The sequence below is a fragment of the Homo sapiens genome, chromosome 3, assembly GCF_000001405.40.
Source record: "Homo sapiens chromosome 3, GRCh38.p14 Primary Assembly".
Lineage (NCBI taxonomy): Eukaryota > Metazoa > Chordata > Mammalia > Primates > Hominidae > Homo > Homo sapiens.
In genome coordinates, this window is record NC_000003.12 from 58388675 (window position 1) to 58411140 (window position 22466).

The 22466-nt window shown below is 42.1% G+C and overlaps 1 protein-coding gene across 60 annotated transcripts in view, besides 1 other annotated feature; it reads left to right on the forward strand.

The window, feature by feature from the left end:
* Positions 1–22466, forward strand: part of PXK (PX domain containing serine/threonine kinase like) — a 93236-nt gene that overhangs the window by 55783 nt on the left and 14987 nt on the right. For all 60 annotated transcript variants that reach the window (NR_146194.2, NR_146193.2, NM_001349528.2 and 57 more), the window contains 12 exons: positions 1908–1985; positions 2473–2546; positions 3099–3173; positions 6324–6428; positions 6984–7085; positions 8365–8526; positions 8931–9048; positions 10625–10703; positions 15188–15236; positions 20250–20327; positions 20858–20944; positions 21416–21485. Coding sequence is in view for 58 of the 60 variants with exons in the window: in NM_001349528.2 (NP_001336457.1) it covers positions 1908–1985; positions 2473–2546; positions 3099–3173; positions 6324–6428; positions 6984–7085; positions 8365–8526; positions 8931–9048; positions 10625–10703; positions 15188–15236; positions 20250–20327; positions 20858–20944; positions 21416–21485 (1077 nt within the window). In the remaining 2 variants the exon portion in view is untranslated. The remainder of the gene's footprint in view (positions 1–1907; positions 1986–2472; positions 2547–3098; positions 3174–6323; positions 6429–6983; positions 7086–8364; positions 8527–8930; positions 9049–10624; positions 10704–15187; positions 15237–20249; positions 20328–20857; positions 20945–21415; positions 21486–22466) is intronic.
* Positions 8832–9331: an enhancer, noted in NCBI's record as "H3K27ac hESC enhancer chr3:58383233-58383732 (GRCh37/hg19 assembly coordinates)". NCBI's record gives its function as "activates a minimal SCP1, AML or CMV promoter by ChIP-STARR-seq in primed H9 embryonic stem cells {active_cell/tissue: H9 hESC(primed)}" and the evidence as "EXISTENCE:reporter gene assay evidence [ECO:0000049][PMID:30033119]".

Here is a 22466-nt window from a genome sequence, read left to right on the forward strand (position 1 = left end):
ACATCACATGTTTTCTTCTGAGTAGATGCCAATGACACTTTACATATTGAGTCAGTAAACAAATAGCTAGTAAATTGTTTTCTTCCCTGATCTCTTAACTCAAAATGTACTATAAAATATATCCAAATGATATTGTTTGCCAAGCTCTTGACATGTGAATTCTAAACAAGGTCATTTTGACATATGGAGAGCATTTCTACTGAATCCCTCATGCCTCACCAGTCTGCTTGGAATGTAATTAATGCTAGGCAGAACTGAAATTCCACAGTGCATTTGGAGGATTGCTGTTTGCTTTCAGGGATCTGGAATGGCTTCATTTACTCACTGCAATGAGGGGAAATGGCAAATTACAGATGTTGCTTTTTACAGGAAATGTAAAAGCACAGCTATTTTCATAATTTCTTAATGCAAAGAACTTTAAAGAACTTCCTTTCTCATTGTCTTCTTAAAAGGGGGAAACATTTTCATGATAAATGAACAGAAAAAGAGGATGGATTTTTTTTTCCCAGTAAACAGGCACTCGGAGACTTTCCACAATAGAACCATGTTGTTGCTGTACACTGGCTTTTATTTCTAGTATATATTTAAGGCTAATCACTTTTTTGTTGATGAAAGCTATAATTCCAGATGGGATAAATAGTACTTGGAGCAACATTAAATACTGTTTCCAGCTGACTTTAGAACATGTTTTGAGTTTTGGGCTTGGGTTGTGGTCTGGTGCATATATTGAATTCTTGGCTTAGACCAGCTAGATTACATATTTTAGATTTTCCAGTTTTGAAAAATATACATTTTCACATTATTAATAATTTTTAAAATAAACTTTACATTTTAGAATAATTTTAGATTTACATAGAATTGCAGTGGGCTGCGTGCAGTGGTTCGTGGTTGTATTCCCAGCACTTTGGGAGGTCGAGATGGGCGGATCTCTTGAGCCAAGAGTTTGAGACCAGCCTGGGTGGAGATGGCAAATACCTTGTCACTAAAAAAAACAAAAACAAACAAAAAAAAAAACCACACGCACCAGAAATTAGCCAGGCGTCGGGCAGGTGCAGTGGCTCATGCCTGTAGTCTCAGCACTTTGGGAGGCCGAGGTGGGCGGATCACCTGAGGTCAGGAGCTCGAGACCAGCCTGAACAACATGGAGAAACCCCGTTTCTACTAAAAATACAAAATTAGCTGGGCATGGTGGCGCATGCCTGTAATCCTAACTACTCAGGAGGCTGAGGCAGGAGAATTGCTTGAACCCAGGAGGTGGAGGTTGCGGTGAGCCGAGATCGCACCATTGCACTCCAACCTGGGTAACAAGAGTGAAACTCCGTCTCAAAAAAAAAAAAAAAAAAAAAAAAACAATTTAGCCAGGCGTGATGGCCCATGCTTGTAGTCCCAGCTATTCGGGAGGCTGAGGTGGGAGGATCACTTGAGCCCAGGAGGTTGAGTTTGCAGTGAGCCATGATTGTGCCACTGAGTTCCAGCCTGGGCAACAGAGTGAGACCCTATCTCAAAAAACAAAAAACAAAACTAAACAAAAGAAGTTGCAATGATAGTACAGAAAATTGCCATATACTTCTCACCCAGTTTCTCCTAATGTTAATATTTTATATAACCATGGCACATTTATCAAAACTAGAAGTGAATATTAGTAATGTTACTATTAACTATGGGCTTTATTCAGATTTTACCAGTTTTTCTGCTAGTGTACTTTTTCTATTCCAGGGTCCAATCTAAAATCCCACATTGCATTTAGTTTGTGTGTATTTTCTTTCTTTATTATTATTTTTTTTTTGGTAATTAAGTTTTTTAAAAAGGTCATAGACTATAGGGATTTCATTTACAAGAATAATATCTTCAGCATATGGCCCTTTCCTGATATGTCTGACTAATGGGTTTCTAAAATGTCTTTGCAGAGATTGCCTTGCAACAGGTTTCCATGTTCTTCCGATCAGAACCAAAGTGGGAGGTGGTGGAACCTTTGAAAGACATAGGTGAGACATTGGCACGCTCATTCTGTTAAAAAGACAGATCACAGAACTGGATCCTTAGTCATGCTTTCTGATACGTATCCCAGGAACATGCTTAAATGCAGGTGACTTCTTTTTCTTTTTGCATATCAACTGCTTGAGGATACAGCTGGTAACTTTTAATACTTAATGAACCTTGGTTAAAGCCCCATCAAAGCATTTGGATGGTAATAACTTTCAGAAACACCATTCCTTCTTCATCTATCTTTTTCACTACATCTAAACTGAAGTGCTACTTTCCTGCCTTTTCCGTGAATAATTTCTTCATTTACTGTTTCTTTTTAAGTATAGCCTTTACTATGCCAACGTTATCAAATGGTTCTTTTACTTGTGCCTATGTAGCTGCGAATAATATTGCCAAACTTAATTTTTCTTGATTACCTAGTCAGTGAAACATATCAGTTGTTGCAAAAATTGTGCAGCTCTAAGCACATTTTTGCTTTTATGGCAGGTTGGAGAATAAGGAAGAAATATTTCTTGATGAAGATTAAAAATCAGCCAAAGGAACGGCTAGTGTTAAGCTGGGTAAGCTAGCTTTTTGCTTTGGTCTCCTTCAGTGACTTTAGATGGGTTAATGAAAGCAGATTTGACAAGAGAATTACAAAATTGTACTGTGCTCTTAAGTGATGATGTAAAGGCTTCCTTGGTCCATGTCAAAGAAAAGTCATTTTGAGTCATTTTCCTGTGTATTTGGTTATATAAATGCAATTATATTTGGTCAACTAGTAAACATTTGAAAAGAAACAAGAACAGCTTAAAATAACTCTCTGGAATCTCTTTAGGGTTTATAGTTTTGGAGTTTACTTCCCAAAAAAAAAAATACTTGGGCATTACTTTATCTCTTTGACTTTGAGAGTTTTAGTGATAGATTTGGTTAGTGGAATTAGATAAGATTACAGTTAAGTCTGGTATTTTTACACACTGCTTCTCCAGAAAGGTCTTGAGGCAGCCAGACTTAGTGTTGTTTTCGTCTTTGGTTTCCAGTCATATTTTGGATAATAAAATTAAAGGGAAAGACAAGGAATTTTTCTTTTGGTGACCAAAACAGTACCCTGATATTCCCTTCCATGTTTTCAGGCTGACCTTGGCCCAGACAAGTATTTGTCAGATAAAGATTTTCAGTGTCTAATCAAACTTCTGCCTTCTTGTTTGGTGAGTATACGTCTTTCTTTTATTCTCAGTGCTGATGATAGAGTCACAGTATTTTTTCTGGGTGAACATGGACAGAAAAGCTGGAAAACAGAATGGGGAGATACAGTGGATTTCAGGTCAGACTGAAATTGTGTAGGGCTAATCTCTTAGATCATAGGCTATTTGAAATGGCATTCATGACATCTGCACAACCCATGAAACATAGTAATTTAAATACAGACTTTGAATTTTAAACAAAGATGAGAGTAGGGAAGCAGCTACTTCTCCCAGCCTGTTGTTCTTGGTGAAGGTATTTATCTCAGTGGAACTGAAAGATACTCTTTCCAGCCTGAGAAAACAGAACTAATGAGGAATTTAGATAAGCTGGGTGAAGAAAAGGCAAAATAGCCATTTTTCTGTCTGAGTTACTACCTTCACAGGCTAACCAGATGACCTTTAGGAATACATGATATTATTTACACGACTACACAGCTCTAATCCAGGGCCTTCAGTGCAAAGAACCACGTTGATATATTTCAAAATATGTGCAGAATGTCTTCAGCAAAGACTAATCTGGCCAGGAAATTGAGTTAACATTGACATTCTTTATCTTGTCTGCATGAAGATGTAGTTCCCTGGAATGAATCACTAGCGAACTGAACACAATTACACTGACTTGTGCACTTGGTTTGGCAAGTTTATTTTTGGCCATATAGTGTCTTGTCAAGCTTGCAAACCAAGCTATTAATGAGGTGCAATGTGAGGCCAAAAAGACGCTTTAGTCTTAGAGCTTGATTGGTTGTGTGACATAGGCTGTCAGGACCTAGTTCTAAATTTCTTTTTTTTTTTTTTCAAGGTGGAGTCTCTCTTTGTCACCCAGGCTGGAATGCAGTGGTGCGATCTCGGCTCACTGCAACCTCCACCTCCTGGGTTCAGGCGATTCTCCTGCCTCAGCCTCCCAAGTAGCTGGGATTACAGGTGCATGCCACCACACCCAGCTAATTTTTGTATTTTTAGTAGAGATGGGGTTTCACCATGTTGGCCGGGCAGATCTTGAACTCCTGACCTCATGATCCGCCTGCCTCGACTTCCCAAAGTGCTGGGATGACAGGTGTGAGCCACCGCACCCGGCCCTAAATTTCTTTTAATAGAAGTGCTTCTTTAAAAAAAGAAGCACATAAAAATGGTGCATATTAATTGTAGCAAAGTCAGAAGGCAGATAAGCAAAAATAAGAAAATAAGCCGAGTGTGGTGGCTCATGCCTGTAATCCCAGCACTTTGGGAGGCTGAGGCGGATGGATCACAAGGTCAGGAGATCGAAACCATCCTGGCTAACATGGTGAAACCCTGTCTCTACTAAAAATAGAAAAAATTAGCTGGACGTGGTGGTGGGCACCTGTGGTCCCAGCTACTAGGAAGGCTGAGGCAGGAGAATGGCGTGAACCCGGGAGGCGGAGCTTGCAGTGAGCCGAGATCGTGCCACTGCACTCCAGCCTGGGCAACAGAGCAGACTCCGTCTCAAAAAAAAAGAAAGAAAAGAAAAGAAAACTCACCAGTAATCCCAGTCAAACAGAAGTATGAACCAAAATATTCAGTTGTTACTTTTTAAGAATTTTTATGATAAAAAAGTAAATTATATATGTAGTGCTTTAAAACCTGATTTTTTTTTCATTAATGGTGTACCATGAGCATCTTTAGTTGTTAGTAAATATAGCATCATTATTATGGGCTGTATAGAATTATCATTGGCTATACCTTAGTTTACTCAATCTTCTATTGACATTTAGATCACCTCCAGCTTTTTGCTCTTATTTTTTAAAAAAGAAAAAAGCCATAATGAACAATTTTTGCTAAACATTATACCCATACTTAATTTCTTAAGGTAAATACCTATAATTAATAACCAATGTGTAAGGAGATATTGTGACACTACATATTCTGTTCTTTATGAAGCCCACTAGCATTTTAACATTTAATGTGATTTTCTAACTCTATTATTCCTTCCGTATTTACTTATTAGTTGGCATTCTACTCTAAAGAGCTTCTCTTCTCCCTTTTAAAAAAATTTATATTAGTATGTACTCAAGGATTTTTATTCTACCCATTGTGTTTCTTTTTGGGGTGATGAAAATGTTCTATAATTAGATTGTATGATGGTTGTATAACTGAATATACTGAAAATCATTGACTTGTACAGTTTAAATGTGTGAATAGTAATGGCATGTGAATTATATCTCAACAAAGCTGTTAAAAAGTCAGCAGCAACCATTTTGATGTGATGATCAGGAGAACTTCATGATCAATTACTCTGTTTTCCTGGGTACACCTTTCCACCCCCCAACCTGCTGCATGCCAGCCTCCAAAATCCCTGCATAGCTCAGCTCCCATGGGTTTAAATTTTCATGATACTCCTTTGAGCTAGTGAACATTGTAATACCTGTCTGGACCCAGTTTGTTTCACGTAACCAGAATTCCAGGGAAAAACAGCACTTTCCTTTCACTCATTAAATAATTTGTCTTTTCTCCACCCCAGTTGCTTAATGTCAGTTTCTCCATCTGAGGAGGACACTGTGAATCTTTATGTTGCAGAATTCTATAGAAGGGTAGGAAGATTCATGCCAGCTACTGTGGAAAGGGCTGAGATTCCAGAAGATGCTACTTTTGCCTGTTTTCTGGCTAGTATGCTTCTTGGCTTGGCACCCAAACAGCAGTGTGGAATGTTAGGCAAAGCTGTGAGCAAAGACACATTGATCCTGGTCTCCATTTGGCTGTTCTGAGATTTGGCTGTATTCTTTACTGACTTACAGAGACAGGATATTAACACTATTATCCTCAAAACTCAGACATTTTATCTCTTCCACCACACTTTTGCCTGAGCTATGAGAGTGCACACACCAAAGAGGACCCCTTCACTTGTGGAGTTTACCACATCCATTATCTGTCTCCTGTTTTCCTTTGTTCCTACAGTTTATGTCCCTTCCTCCATCTGAAGAAGGAGGAACTAGCTGGTAACTGAATAACTTGAAAATGCCATGTGTTCAGGGAATATCACTACATTCGTATGCAATTAAACCACCACAGTGCTACTTGACTCTGCATAACCAGATCCTGTATTTAAAAGGACCTAGATCCTGACGCAAATCAATGTGAATTTCTTTTTTGTTTTGACAGCACCCTTACATCTATCGGGTTACCTTTGCCACAGCTAATGAATCCTCAGCGTTGCTAATTAGGATGTTTAACGAAAAGGGAACATTGAAGGATCTGATCTACAAGGTACCTGTGCAAGTTCATGGTCATAAGGAATTCTCAAGTTCCTTTAGAACCTGTTATTGATACTTAGTCTCTAAGACTCCAGAGGCTAGGCCCTGAGGATTTGATGTTAGTTTTGATTTTATTTGGAATTTATTTTTATTCATGCAATAAAAACTCTACTTAGTTTGGTTAAAGAGCATTCCTTTTCCCATGTGAGGAAAGGTTGAACATTTAATAATTATGTCCATTACATGGCAAGCTGTTCTCTTAGGTCAGTTTTTAAGTTTGTGTTTTGCGCTTAACAAAGCAGTTCTGAAGAATTCGAACAATATGCAAGACTTTGGGGTCTGCTAAGGGCAAGACCAGGCACATCTTCACTGGGCTAGAGAAGGGATGGAACCTGGGTCAGCCTCTTTCTATCAACAATGCAGACTGTCGTATTTTAAAAACTCACATCTTGCAGCTGGCCATCTCTGGCGCCCCTAGCCTCTGTAGAATCCTGCCTGGTCAGGGAGTCTGTGTGCAGATATTGGCCCCTCTGCTGCTTTCTTACGTGTTCTTTGTTCTTTTCCAAAGGCAAAACCAAAAGACCCATTTCTAAAGAAGTACTGCAACCCTAAGAAGATTCAGGGCCTGGAACTCCAGCAAATAAAAACATATGGACGGCAAATATTAGAGGTAAGAGGTACTTTTGTTTAAGTTGCATTCAGATTTCATCCAAAATTGCATTATTCACCTGGAAAAGTTCTTAAGTAATATCCAAAATTACTTAAGTTGTCTGATTACTTATAAACTGATTGCATTGTCATATTTTGCCTCAAAAAGTAAATATTTGAGACTAAGGCAACAGTCACTTATGTCTACAAAATTCTTAAAGCTTTAGCTATTGCAATTTAGTGTCTGAGTTTTAAGAACTTTACTGTGTGGATACCAACTTTTATATTATCTTTGGTTGCTCTTTATCCCCATGCCAAGGTTTTTGATTTTGTTATGTCATATGCATAGCCATATGGCTCCCTTACAGAAGTATAACCAACAGTGAGAAGGCTTTCCGACATCACCCTCTAGATCAGGATTCTCCAAGCTTCTGGGATTATGCAACCTTATCAGTAATAACCAATTTAATATCCCAATGTTATGTCTATTTAACTATAAATTATATGCGTGTACTATGCACATACATATATGTGTATGTGTGTATATATATTATATTTGTTTGGATGGAGACAGCATACTAGTAATATATTTTGTATATTATAAGTTAAAAAAATAACATTTTTAAAAAACAACAACTATGAAGAGAAGTTGTAATATTTTCTTCTAGTCCTTAGTGAATTGCTCTGGGCACCCCACTTGCCTATCACTGCTCTAGTTCACCAGGACATTGCAGGGCTATATCTAAGCATCTCTCTTACTGGGTAAGCCACTGATTATTTATATGGCAGCGGAAATATTTACTGCTTTTTCTGGGATCCTGTTGTGTGTTCCTATTAATAAACAGCTAAATATATTTGGAGGAGAGACTGAACTAGAGATGTTTTCTAGTTCAACCCCTTTTTCTGAATTACTGGCAGAAGCACTGATAAGATAGCTTCACTCATCTATGCAGGAGGATCAAGACTTTGCCCTGAAGAGAGCTGGCCTATTGGAATCAGAAAGTGCTTAAAGCAGAGCCTTTTGGCATCAGAGTTATTAATTCCAAGCATATGCAGGCTGCTTCTCTATTCTTTTGAGGAAAGAAAGAACTGATGTTGCATCTCACAGCCTCAAAACTGGAAAGCATTCAGCTTCACTTCCTTTTCCAAACAAATGGGTAGAGGTGGCATTTTTCTTCAGGAATCTTCTCAGTGACCTGTTTGGTTTTGTTTCAAAATATATTGACTAAAAAACAAAGTTTAACTTGTCTTATATCTGAATGAGTTTGGGGAAAATGTAACTTTCCCATATGTTTTGATAGGTACTGAAGTTTCTTCATGACAAGGGATTCCCTTATGGGCATCTTCACGCCTCCAATGTGATGCTCGATGGGGACACTTGCCGGCTGCTGGACCTTGAGAATTCCTTATTGGGCCTGCCTTCCTTCTACCGATCTTATTTTTCACAATTCAGGAAAATCAATGTAAGTTGCTAAAGTAATGAAATAGCAGGTTCATTTTTAGGTGTCAGTTATCCCCATGATCTGCCCATGTAGGAAATATGCACCAAGTAGTGAAAGGTATAGTTGGGACAGGCCTTGCCCGTCAGCCCTTGCAGCGTTGCTGTATCTCTGGGAGGCTGAGTTGAAATGGCGGGTGGGGTAAGGAGGGAGGTGGACTCACTGATTGGAAAACTGTGGAGGGTCGGACCAAGACCTTTGGGATACCTCATGAGGTTTTACAGAAGGCTTTGGAGTTGCATTTACGTTACCAATTAGGAACGGGGCTATCCCTGGGCTTTGTTTCTCAGAGAAGCCTTGGGGCAGGAGCGCGAGGGTCCACAAAGCCAAAGTGAAGGGTGAACACGCTGCTACTCTTTCTTCCACAGACATTGGAAAGTGTGGATGTCCACTGCTTTGGCCACTTACTGTATGAAATGACTTATGGACGACCGCCAGACTCGGTGCCTGTGGACTCCTTCCCTCCTGCCCCGTCCATGGCTGTGGGTCAGTATGGGGTTGGGAAGGGTCTTCTGGGCCCTAGTAGTGTGCAGAGCCACTCATCCCCTTTCCAGAGTCCAGGAAAGACCCAGAGGAAGTTGCTGTCCTCCACAGCCAGAAATTCTTACAAAATTTAAAAGTAGACCAAATTTGAGTAGTTTACTTAAATACACTTCTGTGAAAATTCAGGTGGCTTGTCCATTTGCCAGGCTATCTGAAATTTCTGGGAACTTTTTGCAAAATGCTTTAGAGCTTTGGAAGCAGGAGGATGTAAAGAGAAGTATGGCCTGCATGAGTGTGATGCAGAAGCTAGAGCCAGGCAACTTGAAGCCAGTCTTGAGGACCCAGGCAGGTGTCAGACGTCAGATCAAGACTGAAGTGAGACTTGTAAGAAACAAGAGAGGCCAGGCATGGTGGCTCACACCTGTAATCCCAGCACTTTGGAAGGCCGAGGTGGGTGGATCACATGAGGTCAGGAGTTTGAGACCAGCCTGGCCAACATAATGAAACCCCATCTGTACTAAAATTACAAAAATTAGCTGGGCGTGGAGGTGCATGCCTGTAATCCCAGCTTTTTGGGAGGCTGAGGCACGAGAATTGCTTGAACCCGCCTCTTGGGAGGTGGAGGTTGCAGTGAGCCGAGATTGCGCCACTGCACTCCAGCCTGGGCGACACAGTAAGACTCTGCCTCAAACGAAAACAAAACAAAACAAGAATGCCATAGGCCAGAAGCCTAGTAGATAAGAGCCTAGCAGGCCCAGACCTAGGGCAGGCAGGCAGGAATGCAGACACCAAGACAAATTGGATCCAGGAGCTCTTACAGCATTACCTGCGGGGGCTGAGGGGAGCTGGAGGACAAGTGAGAGCACCTTTAGGAAGGAGGGATGCAGGAACTGGTACAGACTCATCCAGGACCCTTTCATCCCCTCCACAGCCAGGCTGGCACCCACAGCTGGAGCAGAGAGAGGGGAGGGCAGGGTGGCTCTTGGACCCCTGTGCCTTGGAGATACTCAAGTCCACCCTTCACCAAGCGTTATTGTGTCAAAAGAGGCAATTCAAGAGAACAGGCCCTGGGACTATATTGTGTTGAATTTGAACCGCTGAAACTGAACAGTGACCTGTGGGTAGAAAAATCTGGCTGCTCCTGTTAATAGCATCCAAGGTGTTGGATGATGAGATATCAACAATTGGCATTTTGTGTGCTGGTTTTGATGAAAAGCAGGCAAGCAGCAAAATGTCTTTCAAGTTCAGAATTTTACTTCTGTGTAGTGTTTACATCTCTTTCAAGAGAACAAACACTTTTATGAATGATATCTTGAATCCTTCCTCCAGTTATCTTTGAAATATATTTAGCTTTCTGTCAGCATGTAGTTTCTAAACCATTTCTTTTGAGTCATCGGTAACGCCAGTGTTGCCAGCATTCCCCCACCCCACGTATGCCATCTGTCTGTGTGTGAAGATTTTTGACACTGTCCTGATCAGCCCGCAGACAGTTATTGCAAAGTGGTGTTAAACTTTTCATCAGCAAGTGGATTTGCCAGCGTGTTCTGTGGAACTAAAATGTGTATCTGTTCATTTCAAGTGGCCGTGTTGGAGTCTACGCTGTCTTGTGAAGCCTGTAAAAATGGCATGCCTACCATCTCCCGGCTCTTACAGATGCCGTAAGTCAATCATATGCGTTGGTTGTAATCTTGATAACTATGTTGAACACCAGACCACTGTGTCCAAGCACCTGGTACTGTAGTAAAGATTCTTGCGGTCCCTGCAGAGTTGGCGTGGCCTGCTTGCTGATGGGCACTTGCAGCATGATATCCTCACCCTTTGTTTGTGACCTCTGTGCTCTCCTGGTCTGATGGCTATCCTTTAACATCTGTGTCATTTTCACGTGTATCTCCTCACTCAGCGTTAGCATTGTGTGTACGTACATTAGCATTGGGTGTGCGTATGTGTCGCAGCCCCCAGCTTAGGAAATACTGAAGGAGGGCCCTCTCAAGTGGCTCCTTTCTGACCCTGCATCAGCAAACCAGTTGGCCCCCAGCTGTGCATAGTTCACAAGTCACAGGGCCTTGAAGGGTCTGCCCTCCAGGAAGAGGGCAACGTGTTTCTGAGCACCCATGCTTCTGCTTGTGAATTTACTCACTGGGTACTATTTATTAAACTCTAGCATGTACCAGGCACTGTTCTAGGGTCTTGGAGCTCAGAAGACATTTTCTCTGAAACTGGATTATGAGTAGATAACCAGGGCAGCTGAAATAGTGCTGTGGGGCCTTCCCTTCAGGTGCATTTTCTGTTCTTTCATGGAAAGGCAGCAGAGTGGTTAAGAAGGGTGTGCCTGGGGTGGGACAGACCTGGAGGTGGATTCCAGCTTCACCACTTCTACCTGGGTGACCTTAGACAAATTTCCTAACCTCTGGAAGTAGAGTTTTGTGAACTGTGAAATGGGAATGATAATAAGTTCCCACCTCAGAAGGTAGTTGGGAGGATTTAATGAGGTGATTCCTAGTAGGGACCCGGCACTTAATATGTGCTCATTAAGTGTTAGTTATGCTTACTACTGAATCAGCTGATCTTTTTTGAATATCACACACCATGCAGTGTATCTGGTGCTTTGTCTGCACCAGCGTATTATATAACAGATATACTCTGAAAACAATAATATGGGGAAACGAGGCAGGGGACAGCTTGAAGGGCATGTAGCCAGAGTTCAGAGAAGGTAGAGATAACTTCCGGTTCCTGGTTCTTTCTTTCCACAAGTGTTTAGAGAGGGCCTTCTGGAGGCCAGCTGCTGTCCTAGGCACTGTAATGAAAAGAGGAAACCAAGCCCCTGCCCCGTGGATGTGACATTCTACTGTTCCACAGACACTGAAGCGTCTGTCGCCAAACCAGCAACCATTAATAATAATGTAATAATGTGGGCCGGGCAGTGGCTCATGCCTATAATCCCAGCACTTTGGGAGGCTGAGGCGGGTGGATCACTTGAGGTCAGGAGTTCAAGACCATCCTGGCCAACGTGTGGTGAAACCCTGTCTCTACTAAGAAAATATAAAAAATTAGCTGGGCATGGTGGCACACTCCTGTAATCCCAGCTACTCAGGAGGCTGAGGCAGAAGAATCACTTGAACTGGGGAGGCAGAGGTTGCAGTGAGCCAAGATCTCAGCACTGCACTCCAGCCTGGGTGACAGAGCAAGACTCCGTCTCAAAACAAAACAAACAATGTGAATATGGAAAAACAGACCCAGTTTGGAAAACAACTTTCACACAAACTTTTCTAGCAAAATGCACTTGTACTTAGGAAATAGCCTATATACAGGTTGATTTACTTGAGTTTGCATTTACACTCCCCATTCCAAAGCTCTTACATCTTTCTCTCAGTCTTCCAGTCCTTAAGTGAATCCAAATATTTTTTTCTTCACCTAAGTCTTTCTACGATGTGGGCTTCAGCTATGAGAAGAGCTCCTGGACAGGCGTAAACCATGTTCAATTAAAATGTGTCCTCTGGAAGTAAAGAGATGTGTGGCTGAGGGACAGGCGGGGCCCTGAAGAGCCCTGTGGGGAAAGCTAATCCTGTCATTTCTACTTGTGATGAAGTTCCCATCTTTAAAAAAGAGTAATATAGCTGGGCGCGGTGGCTCACACCTATAATCCCAGCAGTTTGGGAGGCTGAGGCAGGTGGATCACTTGAGCTCAGGAGTTCAAGACCAGCCTGGCCAACATGGCGAAACCCCATCTCTACAAAAAATACAACAACAACAAAATTAGCTAGGCGTGGTGGTGTGCACCAAGTAATAATCCCAGCTACTTGGAAGGCTGAGGTGGTAGAATCGCTTGAGCCTAGGAATTTGAGGTTGCAGTGAGCTGTGAACTCACCACTGCACTCCAGCCTAGATGACAGAGTAAGACCCTGTCTCAAAAATAAAACAAAGTGAGGGGCAGGCGTGGTGGCTCATGCCTGTAATCCCAGCACTTTAGGAGGCCAAGGCAGGTGGATCACAAGGTCAGGAGATCCAGACCATCCTAGCTAACACGGTGAAACCCTGTCTCTACTAAAAATGCAAAAAAATTAGCCGAGCGTGGTGGCGGGCGTCTGTAGTCCCAGCTACCCAGGAGGCGGAGTTTGCACTGGAGCGCGCCACTGCACTCCAGCCTGGGCGACAGAGTGAGACTCCATCTCAAAAAAATAAAATAAAATAAAAAATAAAACAAACTGGGGGCGCAGGATATTCAGCCAGGCATACTGGCACATGCCTGTAGTTCCAGCTACTCAGGAGGCCAAGATGGGAGGATTGATTGAGCCCAGGACTTCCAGGGCAGCCTGGACAACATAACAAGACTCCATCTCTTTAAAAAATAGGGGAGGGGCAGGAGGCATATTCAAAGAAAGACTCACTTATAGCTGTTTGGGTGCTACCCAAGCAACCATTTCTATTCTTTGACCTGTTTTACCCAGCAGTTCAGAGTTGTTCATGCTATTGCTTTCCCTCTTTCCCTCTCCTCCTCCTCTCTTCTCCTCTTTTCTTTCCCTCCCCCTCGCACTCCCCCTCCCCCTCTCTCTCCCCCCTTCTTCTTTTTGAGAGTCTTGCTATGTTATGCAGGCTGATCTTAAACTCCTGAGCTCAAAGGGTCCTCCCACCTCTAGCTGTGGAGTAGCTGGGACTGCAGGCGAATGCCACTGTGCCCAGGTCACCCAGTTCATGCTATTGTTTTTTTCTTTTCTTTTCTTTTTTTTTTTTTAGATAGAGTCTTGCTCTGTCACCCAGGCTGGAGTGCAGTGGTGTGATCTTGGCTCACTGCAAGCTCCGCCTCCCGGGTTCAAGTGATCCTCTTGCCTCAGCCTCCCGAGTAGCTGGAACTACAGGTGCGTGCCACCATGCCCGGCTAGTTTTTGTATTTTTAGTAGAAACAGGGTTTTCACCATGTTGGCCAGGCTGGTCTTGAACTCCTGACCTCAGGTGATCCACCTGCCTCAGCCTCCCAAAGTGCTGAGATTACAGGTGTGAGCCACTGCACCCGGCCCATGCTATTGTTTTTAATAATATACTTTTTTTTTTTTTTTTTGGTCACATGGGTAATTTTAAAATCATTTTTTATTATTTTTATTTTTAACTTTTAGGTGTGGGGGTACATGCGAAAGTTTGCTACATAGGTAAACATGTCATGGGGGTTTGTTGTACATATTTCATCACCCAGCTATTAAGCCCAGTACGCAATATTTAGTATTTCTGCTGCTCTCCCCACCTCTCCCCCTAAATAGACCCGGTGTCTGTTGTTTACTTTTTTGCAATAACATACCCTTTTTTTTTTTTTTAAGATGGAGTCTTGCTCTGTTGCCCAGGCAGGAGTGCAGTGGTGCAATGTCGGTTCACTGCAGCCTCTGCCTCCTGGGTTCCAGGGAATCTCCTGCCTTAGCCTCCCAAGTAGCTGGGACAATAGGCACGCACCACCACACCCGGCTAATTTTTGTATTTTTAGTAGAGATGGGGTTTCACCATGCTGCCCACTCTGGTCTCGAAACCCTGACCTCAAGTGATCCGCCTGCCTCAGCCTCACAAAGTGCTGGGATTACAAGACATGAGCCACCGCACCCAGCCAGTAACATATTTTTGAAGAGAGAATTGATTTACTCCAAAAGCTACTACTTTTAAAAATGAAGTATGAGAAATACTTAGAAGAAAATTACTTTCCTGTTAGATTCCAATCAGGACAATTCCTTTCTACTTACTTGAACATTTTTATGTTACTGAACTCTAGAATAAATTTTATCCTCTTCTGAGGCAAGAAAAATAGCAGAAAACTATTCTATTTAGAAATATCTACCGCATATATTATTTGCGATATTTTTGCAAATTAGCATTCGCAAAAGTAATTTCTTAAAAATGCAATATTGCCCATAGCAGGGAAACCCCCTCTAGTACACAGCTGGCCCAGATACCCTAGTAACACAGTGGGAAGGGGGTCACACTGGGCCACCTGCAAATCCCTTTGCATTTGTTAATGAACATGGAATGGTGGATTGGGCCAGGGGCTGGAGGATGTGGTGCAGGGAAGGGAGACCTCATGGGCTAAAGGTGTCTTAATCTGCTTTCATCCTAGTCTGAGAGTGCACGTGGTTCAAGAAAGATTTTTGTTTGTTTCTTTTCTTTACAGATTATTCAGCGATGTTTTACTAACCACTTCTGAAAAACCACAGTTTAAGGTAAAGACAATTATATCGTTTTTTGGTTTGTGACATAACTAAGTTGACTTTGAAAGTTAGCTGTATTTTTAGCCAAAAAAAGAAAAGATATATAATAGGGAAAATTGGGAAATAACCTAAATGTCCTACAATTAGGGGCTAGTTTAATAATTTATGGTACATCTATTTGATAATATAATTAAAAGTGAAATTGATAAAGACATTGTAGTAATATGGAAAATGATTTAGATTTGTGCTTAGGTATAAAAAAATAAGGTAATGTGTAAAACAACATATCTGTCTAGAAACAAGCCTGGAAGGAGGTCTTCTCCTGGGAAGCAGTGGTGTTATGTGTCATGGAAAGAGAATGGGCTTCGGAACCCAAAAAACCAGAATGATATCTTACTTTGTTCCTACAATATTAGCTGTTATCTACAGCAGGGTTTTTCAACCACGGTATTTGACGTTTTGGGTGAGATGATTCTTTGTTGTGAGGGCTGCCTGTGCACGGTAGGATGTGAAGCAGCATCCCTAACCTCACCACTAGATGCCAACGATACTCCTTGCCCCCTCTCCTGCACTGTGACAACCAAAAGTGTCTCCAGACATTGCTAAATGTCTCCTGGGGGGTAGTGTACAAAATTGCTCCCAGTTGAGAGCTACTGACCTATGGGCAAGCACTTAATCTTTGAGTCTGCATGTACTCATGTGTAAAATTGGTGAGTAATGCATGTCTGTTGTCATTAGACAACTGAGGTCATCTACGGAAACTCCTTGTTCAGGCCATGGCTCTTGGCAGTGCTCACTATGAGTGCGATTTGGGTAGGAGGATAAAAGGTAATTCTCCCTCTCCTTTCTATATTCCAAAAGAACATGTAATACTATTAGGATGAAAATAAATTTAGAAAACAAAAAAAAGAAAGAAAACCAAGGGAGGGTTTAGAAGACTGTGTCAGTGAGAGAGGTGCTTTCCTCTGTTCTGTTTTGCCAGTTAGAGGAATTCTGACAATAATAGCTTCTTTGGATCTGAAGTAGGAGAGAAAAAAACATTTAAATTTAATGTCTTCTTCACTGAAGCATCTTAGCAAATTTCTTCAGCCTTGTCAATAAATATATTCTCCTCCAACCCTGACAGTCTGGCCTTTAGGATTCAGGAGTTAGTACTAGACCTCGCTCTTCCCCTAAGCCAGAGAGCCTATGCAGCAAAGATAGTATGATTTTAAAATCCAACATTAGTTCTTGTATGTACACTGACTTTCTGGAAAGATATACAGGAGACTGGTAATGTTGGTTTCCTCCATGGAAGTAGGTGGGAGACTTCACTGTGTATGTGCCCTTTTATACCTTTGGGATTTTAAACCATGTGACTGTATTACCTACTTACAGCTTTTTTTTTAATTTGAAATTTTTACAGAATAATAAAGACAAAAAGTTCAACATGATCTGGGGGTCTTATCTTCCAGGACCAGACTCCTCATGATTTAAAAAGCTAATAAATTAAGAAATGGCCCGGGCGTGGTGGCTCACGCTTGTAATCCCAACACTTTGGGAGGCTGAGACAGGTGGATCATTTGAGGTCAGGAGTTCCAGACCAGCCTGGCCAACATGGCAAAACCCCATCTCTACTAAAAATACAGAAATTAGCCAGGCTTAGTGGCAGGTGCCTGTAATCCCAGCTACTCGGGAGGCTGAAGCAGGAGAATTGCTTAGACCTGGGAGGCAGAGGTTGCAGTGAACTGAGAGCACACCACTGCACTCCAGCCTGGGCGACAGAGTGAGACTCTGTCTCAAAAAAAAAAAAAAGGAGAAATGATGGAGGCAGAGGTTGCAGTGAGCTGAGATCATGCCGGTACACTCCAGCCTGGGGAACAGAGTGAGATTCTGTCTCAAAAAAAAAAAAGAAATGATAGGCTCAGAAACAAACTGGGCTGTTGTTTGGAATGTCTCCCAACAGGGAAAGCTGGGAAAGTTTAATCTTACAAAATTCAGAACATAAATCTCTCACAAAGAAGATATCTCTGAAGTTATAATAACTGGTTGAATTTATGTATGTTCCAATAAGCTTTATATAATTTTTTAAATATTTTTTTTTCTTTTGAGACGGAGTCTCGCTCTTGTCACCCAGGCTGGAGTACAATGGCATGATCTCGGCTCACTGCAACCTCCGCCTCCTGGGTTCAAGCAATTCTGCTTCAGCCTCCTGAGCAGCTGGGATTACAAGCATGCGCCACCACGCCTGGCTAATTTTTGTATTTTTAGTAGAGATGGGGTTTCATTATGTTGGTCAGGCTGGTCTCGACCTCAGGTGAACCACTCACCTCGGCCTCCCAAAGTGCTGGGATTACAGGTGTGAGCCACTGCACCCGGCCAATTTTTTTAATTTTTAATTTTAATTTTTTTTTTTTTGAAGTAGGCGATTTTTTGTTGCCAGGCTGGAGTGCAGTGGTGCAATGACGGGGCTCAGTGCAGCCTCAAACTCCTGAGCTCAGGTAATCCTCCTGCCTCAGCCTGTTGAGTAGCTGGGACAACAGGCGCGTACCACCACACCCTGCTAATTTTTTAATTTTTTTGTAGAGACAGAGTCTTACTGTTGCCCAGGCTAGTCTTGAACTCTTGGCCCCAAGTGGCCTCCCAAAGTGCTGGGATTACAGGTGTGAGCCACTGTGCCTGACCTAATTTTTAAATTTTTAATTGTGATAAAAAATACAATATAAAATTTACTCTCTGAACCATTTTTAAGTGTACAGTTCAGTGGTGTTAACTATCTTCACATTATTGTATAACAGGTCTCTAGAGCTTACAACCTGAAACTCTATACCCATAGAATAATGACTCCCCATTTCTCCCTCCCCACAGCTCCGGGCAATCACTATTCTACTTTGTTTCTGTGATCTTGACTACTCTAGAAACCTTATATAAGTATTTGTCCTTTTGTGGATCATTTATTTCACTTAGCATAATGTCCTCAAGGTTCATCTATATTGTAACATGTAACAAGATTTCCTTCTATTTTTAAGGTTGAGTAATATTCCATTGTATGTATATGCCACACTTTTTTTATCCATTCATCTGTTGATGAACATTTAGGCTGCTTTTACCTCTTGTCTGTCATGAATAATGCTGCAGTGAACATGGGTGTGCAAATATCTTTTTGAGATCCTGCTTTTGATTCTTTTGGATGTATACCCAGAAGTGGAATTCCTCATATGGTAGTTCCATTTTGTAGTTTTTTGAGTCACCTCCATACTGTTTTCCATAGCAGCTGTACTACTCTACATTTCCACCAGCAGTGTACAAGGGCTTCAGTTTCTCCACATTCTCACCAACATTTATTTTATTATTTTAATAGTGGCTATCCTAATGGCTGTGAGGTGATGTCTCATTGTGGTTTTGATTTACATTTCTCTAATGACTAAAGACATTGAGTGTCTTTTCATATGTTTTTTGGCCATTTGTATATTTTCTTTAGAGAAATGTCTATGTCTTTTGCCTCTTTTTAATTGGGTTACTTATATTTTGTTGTTGAGTTGTTGGAGTTCCTTTATATATTCTGGATATTAACCCCTTATCAGACCTATGATTTGCAAATATTGTGTCCCATTTCTTGAGTTGTCTTTTACTCCGTTTTTCTTTGTTGCACCAATGTTTTATTTATTTATTTATTTATTTATTTTTCTTTTTTTCTTTTGGAGACAGGGGCTCGTTCTGTTGCTTAGGCTGGAGTGCAGCAGCACAATCTCAGCTCACTGCAACCTCCGCCCTCCCAGGTTCAAGTGATCTTCCTGCCTCAGCCTCCCAAGTAGATTACAGGCGTGCACCACCACACCTGGCTAATTTTTGTATCTTTAGTAGAGACGGGGTTTTGCCATGTTGGCCAGGCTGGTCTTGAACTTCTGACCTCAAGTGATCCACCCACCTCAGCCTCCCAAAGTATTGGGATTACAGGCGTGAGCCACCTTGCCCGGCTGCACCAAAGTTTTAAATTTTGATGAAGTTTAATTTTTTTTCTTTTATTGCCTGTGCTTTTGGTGTCATATCCAAGAAATCACTGCCAAATCCAGTGTCAAGAAGCTTTTCCCCTGTGTCTTTTCTTTTAGGAGTTTTATAGTTTTAGGTCTTATGTTTAGGTTTTGAATCCATTTTGAGTTAATTTTTGTTTATGGTGTAAGGTAAGGGTCCAACTTCACTCTTTTGTATGTGGATATCCAATTTTCCCAGCACTGTTATTGAATACACTGTCCTTTCCCCCATTGTATGTTCTTGGAACCCTTGTCAAAGATTATTTGACCATATCCACAAGCATTTATTTCTGGGCTCTCTCTTCTTCTTTTCCATTGGTCTGTGTATCTGCCTGCATGTCAGTACCACACTGTTTTAATTACTGTAGCTATGTAATAGGTTTCAAAATCAGGAAATGTGAGGCCTTCAACTTTATTTTTCTTTTTCAGATTGTTTTGGCAATTTACAGCCCTTGAGGATTACTTGCATTACTTGAAACATATCATGTTTATTTATGTTTTAGTTTTATGTGTTCATTGCTAAAAAATGCTAGAGAAGTGAGTGTGTTAGGGATACCAAAAGTGGCTGGGGTAGGATTTGAATGGACAGCTTTAACTGATTTTATTCCAAATGACTCTTTTTTTTTTTTTTTGAGATGGAGTCTCGCTCTGTCACCCAGGCTGGAGTGCAGTGGCGTGATCTCGGCTCTCTGCAAGCTCCGCCTCCCGGGTTCACGCCATTCTCCTGCCTCAGCCTCCTGAGTAGCTGGGACTACAGGCGCCCACCACCACGCCCGGCTAATTTTTTGTATTTTTAGTAGAGATGGGATTTCACCGTGTTAGCCAGGATGGTCTCCATCTCCTGACCGCGTGATCCGCCCGCCTTGGCCTCTCAAAGTCCTGGGATTACAGGCATGAGCCACCGCGCCCGGCCGAAATGACTCTTGATAACCACCTGCTCCTTCATTTACTCCAGGACTTGGAAGTATCTCCAGCCACCTTTTTCAATAGATGATGTACTTTTCTCTCCTTTCAGATCCCTACAAAGTTAAAAGAGGCATTGAGAATTGCCAAAGAATGTATAGAGAAGAGACTAATTGAGGAACAGAAACAGGTAAATTGATAACGGTTCCTCTTTGCCTTTTAGTGTCCCCATCCTCTGCCGTGGTTTTTATAGTGATTGACCTTTGACTGTTCCCTCTGCAAATATTTTAAGCATACTTACTCTCAGCCAGCCTTTAGGCTAAATGCTTCCCTGCAGAGCTGAATACTTGACAGTCCTGCCCTCAGTCCTGCCTAGTCTATGTGGGAAACAAACATGTCCAGGAAGGGCAGTCTGGGTTTCTGATCAGAGCATGCCGGCCGGTGATAGTTGCGGGCATGCATGGTCCATGCTGTCTCACCACATTCTTCTTCTGTAAAAGAGGGAAAGGCAGGAAGGCATTAGGGGCATGAGAAAGGACCTCTTCCTTTGGCATACTCCTCTACCTGGCATCCAGACCCGAGCCAGGAAGTAGACAGCCTGAGCAAGGAAAGATTTTCTTTTATCCCAATAAAATGTGGTTTGCCAAAACATGTTGGAGAAGATTTTCATTAGGAAGCTGCCTTATGTGGGATATGCTTACATCTTATGGTCTTTTAAAGATTCACCAGCATCGAAGACTGACAAGAGCTCAGTCCCACCATGGATCTGAGGAGGAAAGAAAAAAAAGAAAGATTTTAGCTCGAAAGGTAAGCCTGCTGTCTCTCTGCAGTCCCTCTATGAGTTCTTGAGTACATGTGAAGAAAGTTCTAGGTTAATGGTGCCCATTTAATGACAGATGCTGTGCTATATCTCCTTGAAAGCTAAGACTATTTCCAGATGACTGGGGTGCAGTTTTTTTGGGGAAAAAAAAAGAGTCATATGATAATCAGCCGAGAAATAGCCCATGTAGTTTCCTAGCTTGCTGGGCAGATTATGGCGTAATGTAATTGGAGGAAACGATTGGCCTGAGATAGTAAAGTCAGCATTTTTTGTTTTATTTCTGCCTTTAGTTTTGGCTGTGACTTCTTCACTGTGTTAAGTTATGGGGCTGAATATTACCTTGTCTGCAGCTAGTTTAATGGTATGCCTGGAAAATATTTTTATTCTAACTCCCAGCTTCACTGTGTTTATTCTTTGCTTTCCTCTCCCTCCCTCCCCCTTTTCTTTTATTCTTAAAGAAGTCAAAACGATCTGCTCTTGAAAATAGTGAAGAGCATTCAGCGAAGTACAGCAACTCCAATAATTCAGGTAACTGGTTATAGATGGTAGTGGGGCCCAGGACACAGAGATCAGGATCAGGAGTCTCTAGTTGGTCAAGAGGTCTTGAGTTCTGCTGGCCAGAAACTGGGCAATGTAGTAATGACTACAGAGAACAAAATAACTCCGTCTCTAATGAAAGATTGCAACAGTATTCGTAGGCTTACAGCACTCAAATGCTAGAAGGGACTTCTGAGGTAATTGGGTAGCTCACCTTCTTCACTGATGGCAGCACTTGATCATCTAAAGACACAGGAGCATTAGTCATGGAAGGAAAACAGACCTGACTTAAAATGTAAGGCCTCCTGTTTTTTAGTAGAGCCTGCATGAACAGAAATGACCTTAAATCCTGCCCACTGCTCTGGACCCCATGTGATGGGAGGATGTGCTCTCCTGTGTGAATTAAGGAAAGGACTCGATGGTGTGTGGGGATGGCAAGAAACCGAGATGGTACAAAGAGCACTGTCCTGAGTTGGCAGTCCTTGCTGCCACTCCCAGCTGCCCTTCACCCAGCTCTGCTGGCTTTGGGCCATAATGTCCCATCTTTGGAAATCAGAGCCAGATTGAATGATCCCTGGGGGCCTTCCAGTTTTTCTAATTTATGAATCTGTGAAGTAGAGCCCACATAGAGAAGGGAAGGTTTCACCCTAGTTACCAAGCAGTTTTGACTTAGCCCTGAAGGGCCACGGGAATGGGAGATTTTGGGGTTGAGGAATACCTGCTTATACTTTTAGGCAGAGGAAGGACAGAGCAGAGAGGGGGAATTTGAAGATGCAAAAGAGACGGTAACTGGCAGGGGCACCATGGCGGGTAGAAAGCCAAGGGGTTAGCATCCAAAGCCCAGCTATCAGTCTCAACTTTGAGGAAACCCATGCATCTCTTCCTAGCGGTAGGATTTGGTGTGGGCAGGTGAAGAGGCAGAGATGTTTAGAAGGGAGGAAATTGGGGATATTCACAGGTCATGCCTCAGTC